Source organism: Homo sapiens, chromosome 5 (genome assembly GCF_000001405.40).
Source record: "Homo sapiens chromosome 5, GRCh38.p14 Primary Assembly".
Classification (NCBI taxonomy): Eukaryota; Metazoa; Chordata; class Mammalia; order Primates; family Hominidae; genus Homo; species Homo sapiens.
The window spans coordinates 105,897,412-105,903,417 of record NC_000005.10 but is presented as its reverse complement, the minus strand read 5'-3'; positions in this window follow the sequence as shown (position 1 = coordinate 105,903,417).

The window sequence follows — 6,006 nt, the reverse complement described above, 5'->3', positions numbered from 1 at the left end:
AACTTGAAATCCAAAAGAAATACTAGGTTCCATATCTGCTTAGTTTGGTTTACTTCAAAGATGCTGTGTGAGATTATATTTGCTGTGGGCAGATAAGATGGTTACACTTCACATGGAAGGCCAGTATGCTGAACTTTGCTTTGGCATAGCATACGAAACAGGAAACTCATCAACTGTGTAAATTCACATTGATATAATTTTCCCCCAGATGGATTGAATTAGCTGATAATAGCAAGCTGCGCTGCTACAGCTCCGGAAACTTTCTGATCTTGTCTCATCTTTATCTGGTCACAGAGATGTCCTGGATTGAGCAAGCGTAGCTCCAGACTTTGTCACAGGAAAAAAAAAAAAAGCATTTAATAAAAATGCGCACCGAAATAGTTGAAACAGAGAATGGTATCTATAAAACATCAAACTTCCTTTATTCTTTATTTTTCGATATTAGAGAAAGGTCGTTCAAAAACGAAATAAGTGACAATGACAAGGCTCAGTTTTTCTTTAAAAGTCGGAACTTTAATAATTCATAAGTGTTTTGATCAAAAAGTAGTCTTTTGGGGTTATTTATAAGACTAATGGGTGCTATTTATGGGCCGAGAGCCATATGTAGTTGTTTAAGTCTTCTTTGAGAAGCCATAAATTCCTCTCTGTTAATGTGACAATTATGACAATAATTTAGTTAATAAAGGAGAAAATCTAGCCTCTTTGTTTCTGTGCTTCTTCCTTCAATTTGATTTTGAGCAATTAATTTAAGCAGTGTTAGGCAACATGTAAGGCAAGATACTTTCTCTTTGACCCTAAGGGTTTTGCTTAAATTATCATAGAGTTGATTTTATATTCTTTGGTTTAACATTTTTTCTAACATATACAACTTTTTATCATTTAAATACTTATTTTCTTACAGTGAAACCATATCTGTTATGCTTTTCACTGAACCTTTGCTTGCTTCTGTAACAGCGATTTCAACAATCTAAAGTGTGAATAATAAGCCTGCTGAAAGATATAATAGATTTTGTTTTCTCCTTCGTCTTTAAATAGAATGCTATGAAAAGAAAAAAAAAAAAAACGGTCTGGGTGCGGTGGTTCATGCCTGGAATCCCAGCACTTTGGGAGGCCAAGGCGGGTGGATCATGAGGTCAAGAGATCGAGACCATCCTAGCCAACATGGTGAAACTCCGTCTCTACTAAAAATACAAAAAATTAGCAGAGTGTTGTGGCAAGCTCCTCTAGTCCCAGCTACTCGGGAGGCTGAGGCCGGAGAATCACCTGAACCTAGGAGGCAGAGGTTGCAGTGAGCCAAGGTCACGCCACTGCACTCCAGCCTGGCGACAGAGCAAGACTCCGTCTCACAAAAAAAAAAAAAAAAAAAAAAAAAGAAAAGCAAAGCAGGAAAAAGTTGCTATGAGTTCTATAAAATCAGACCTTTTTATTAGTTTTTATTTGGAATACATATGGATATAAAAGATGAAATCTATTTGAGCACATTGATAGTTATGATTTATTATATATAGTACTTGGCAAATATTGACCAAAATGCCAAATATGCCTTCTTTCAGTCCTTTCTTATATTTTCCATAATAGATCTTTTTCATAAACTCCATACTGCCTTAATTGTTTATTTACTAACACATTGTATACTATTCAAGTATTAATATAAGTACGGATAATCCTGTAATGCATTGGATATTAAATACATCCGTTTTTTGATGGGCTTTCTTGAAGTTAATTTGCCACTCTTCATTTATTTCCTTTAACCATCTTACCACATTCATCAGACTGTCAGAGTTGAGCTTCTTAGACTTTCCTCTTCTTTCTTTCCATTTACAGTGAAAAGCAAGCAAAGTCAAATCTGCATCACTAAAATTTCATCACATTGCTCTGTGTCTTATTTTCTCATGTGGCCACACAGAAGAAAAGAAAATACTTTGTATGAAGGTTATTCAAGCTTTGAAGACAAGAGTCATACCATCCAATCTTCACAAATGCATTTATAATATATTTTCTGGATACTTTACTATCCTTTTAAATACTGGAGGAATATTTTCCAGTTTGTTGTTTGGAGCCTTTTTAAGTGCAGTGCCAGAATATAACACAACATTCCAGGTACACACAATGAGCACTAAGTTCCATGAGTATAATACCTCATTTGGTTAAAAGTCTGTATTATTTCTAATGGTGCATTTTAACATAACAGGAGCTTCTTAGCATCACCATTTTATTCCTGGTCCATGCTAAAATTGTAGTTTCTAAAACTTCCTAACCTGCCTGTGTGCCTGCTTCCCTCTTTTCCTCTTTCCTTTCTTCCCACTCTCTCTCTCCCTTCCTTTTTTTGCATTTCTTTTTTTATTGTTTCCTCCTTTCTTTCTTTTTCTGATTCCTTCCTTTCTACCTCATGCTACTGAACTAAATTTAGATATTTCTTCTCCTTTTTATTTAATTCAAAATTCTTATCCGTCCTTCTCAACTCTTACAGGGTCTGTCAATAAGCTTAATAGAAATAAATCGGTTTCACAGAAGTCAGGCTAAAAGGGTTAACAGTAAAGACAGATCCTCTGCACTATCTTTTTACCAGGGCCTCCAACATATTATTGCAGTTGGGTTGTTTAGTGTGTCTTGTCCATGTACAGCTGTAACTGGGACTTTCGATCAATATATTCCTATGCTTCTCATTTAGTTCTCTCCCTCTTTCTTTTAAATCCAAGTAGATCTCAAATATAATATGTGGAAACTAAATCTAAAAATGCTTGTATGTCTAAAAATGCCCAGCTTTGCTTTCATATTATGGAGAATGTGGGTTGGCTAGTTTTTTTTTTTTTTCTTCTTCTTCTTTTTTTTAAAAGATTCCACAGCTCGGATGATTTCTGTATTGTCGCTTTATCTCAAGTGTTTAAAGTGTTAAGCCAGATATTTAGAAATCTGACTTTTTCTTTAATCCTTCTCTATACTATATAGCTCTTTTCAATCTAAAATTTATATATGTTATTTATTCAATTACAGTATCTTCTATTTATTGCAAGATTTATCCCCTTTCAGTTTCTATTTTTGTGTTCTTCTACTAGTTTCAAATCAAAACAACTGATATGGTACATAATCATCTCTCTTTTCCTCTTTCATAATTTTTTTTGTTTCTTTATCTATTTGAGCTCTATTCTTGAATGTTTCTTTAACATTATAGATTTTATACAATTTATTTCAACAGTAATACTTCTAATTTTCAAGGTCTATTTATTATTCTTTTTAAAATAGTATTTTTGCCCAGCACCCTCTTCATCTCCTCCAACTTACACTGAGATTTTGTGATGAATTTTTTTTTACATTTTCATTTAAACTTTTCTTCTTAAACTTCTTGTTTCATCAAACATCAAAGGGATTTTTCGTTGCTGTTTTTTTTTGTAGTCTTTGTTCTTCATGATGCATTTTTCTCCTTAATGTGTGGTGTGTGGTGATTCTTGGTGGATCATTAAGGATATGGGATCCTGCCAGAGTAGTGAAGAATGACAAATTATGTTAATTTTTCTAGATGGCTTGTGTGGATTTCCTCCACCACTTTTCAGATAGATTTGTTTCCTGTTAGGCTTACCTCAGGAATGGAAAATGAACTAGCTGCTCTTGTGGAGATGGGAGTAGAGTGAAGAAGGGTTGACCTCGCTGACCGGTGGGGTAGTTTTCTTATATTGTAAATGGAAACAGAACAAGTTCATGAAAAAATTTCAAAAGGGAATTTAAGTTGATGTGTAAAAAGGTTTACATTTTGGTGTTTATTTTGTGGTAATGAGATTCTGCAGATAATGTAGGAGACCATCACTGGCGATAGGTTTAACACATGTTATAGGGTGCCATTGAGCAGTGAGAAGCAATCAAACAGCCATATACCAATAAACATTAAGGTAGAAGTTTAAGATAGATTTTAAACATATTGTTCTGAATAATTTTCTTAAAAACAGACGAGATATGCAAAACAAATGTATTCGTGTACATGAAAAATACATACACACAGAAATTCCAGTAGGCATTTTTCAAAGGTGCAGATGCAAAGATACCTCTATAAGTTCTCTATGGATGGGAAAAGTAAGAATTAGAAACAAGGATAAAAGAGAATAAAATAATGGATAAAAAAAGAAACAAATGCATGAGTGAAAATGAGAGTAGGGCCTTGCAAAGAGAGACAATGCAGTGGAAGGTGAATTTAGAGTATATTTAACTCTCTGCATCCTAGGTTTTGTGTTTACAGAAAAAGGAACAGGAGCTATGCTACTTACTGGGAGGCCCCTAGATGCCACTGTGAGGAGAGATTTACCCTGTATAAGAAATATCCACATTAGAACCCTTAGATCTCCCAGCCCTAACACTGTGGATAGTTCTCTCAGTTTATCTTGAGAGGCATTCACCAGTATGATTTGTTTGTGTGCTTGCTTGTTTGCTTTTTTGTTGCAAAAGCTGGTTGATTGTTACTGTAGCCAGGAACACAGGGAACAGGGCATCTTGCACAGGTGTTCTGTTTATTTTCCCATTTTCCTGCCTGTGTCTTATTCTCTTGCCATTGCTGCTACTGAATCTAAGCCCAGTGTCTCTAGTAGCTTCCTCAGCATTTCTATGTGGTAGCCTCCTTTGCTCTTTTCCCCACTGATGTACTCAAACTTACTTTCTGTCTCAAAGAAATTTGTTCAAAACTTTTGCCTTCTGAGGACCACCGCTCTATCCCAACAATCCTCCGTACAACATCATTCTCTTTTATATTATGAACTTATTCAAGTGTACTTTGATTTCACTACAACCTAAAGGAGGGGGCTGAACTAGTCAGCATGTCCTTTTGAACCATAAGTCAGGCAAACATTATTCCTTCCTGATTTTTTTCGTGCCAGTTGCAGTTTCCCTGTTAGTTAGAAATCCAAATTATATAATCCTAAAGCCCATACCTCACATTTCATTTCCCTTATCTTTCCTCCCATCCTCCCCAATAAAACGGAATAAAGTTTTGCTTCCTCTATGCCTTCCTTTGTCCATGTCTGTATGTATCAAGTGTCAGGAATAAATCATGGACTTTAAAATGTCTTACAGAGAGGATCCTTATCTTAGACACGGAAGAACTCTTCCCAAAACAAATACTAGTTGCTTGAGCACACTTTGTGTGGGCACTTAGGTTAATTTCTTCCCATCTTTGGGGACACAGAGTGGTGATTCTAGGGAAAGCTAATTTTTCAGCTAATCGTCACTCACTTTGTACATCCACCAGGCTTCTTCCTACAGAACAATAGCTTATTCAGCCTCAAATATTTTTTCCAAAGAGACTTTCTAAGAGACTTGTAACACTTCTGAAGAATAGATGTCTGGTCAAGTATCTGAAGGGGCTAAAGTAAGAGGAGCAGTGACACTGGAAACAAAAATTACCACTCCCTTTACTCCCCCTATTGTCAAATTTAAAATTAAGGCAAAATTAGATTTTTTTGTTATTTAATCTACTATTTTTCCTTAATCAGTGACTCTACAAGTCCCCAAGTAAAAATGACAGATTTTAGATATATATTGTTTTAGATTTCCTTTAAATGGATCTTTCTGTCTCTTTCTCACTTTCTCTCTTTTACGTTCTATTCTACCAGATTGGAAGAAAATATATATATCACTGAGAAAAATGTGCAGCTAGATAGTTCTTATGCATCAAGGATTTTAAAACTGACAAGGGCTGCTTGGGTCCTCTGGTCATATTATATTTGTGTTTTTCACACATTTCTGTGAAAAAAAAAATTGTATCATTAAATAAAATGAACACCACCTTCAACTTTTATGGGCTTTTCCCTCCTCTCAGATTATTAGAGGCATGTCTTTATTAACAAAATCAACAACAAAAAAATCTAAATACTCTATGGAATTTATGCTACTTCCCAATGTCCTTCTGTTTATTAATTTTTTAAAGAAACAGTTCTTCATGATGAAGTATATACCAATGCATGCCATTGGTTAGCCTTGACATTAGTAATTGCTTCTCTACACGTGCTTTTCCTTTTCTTAATT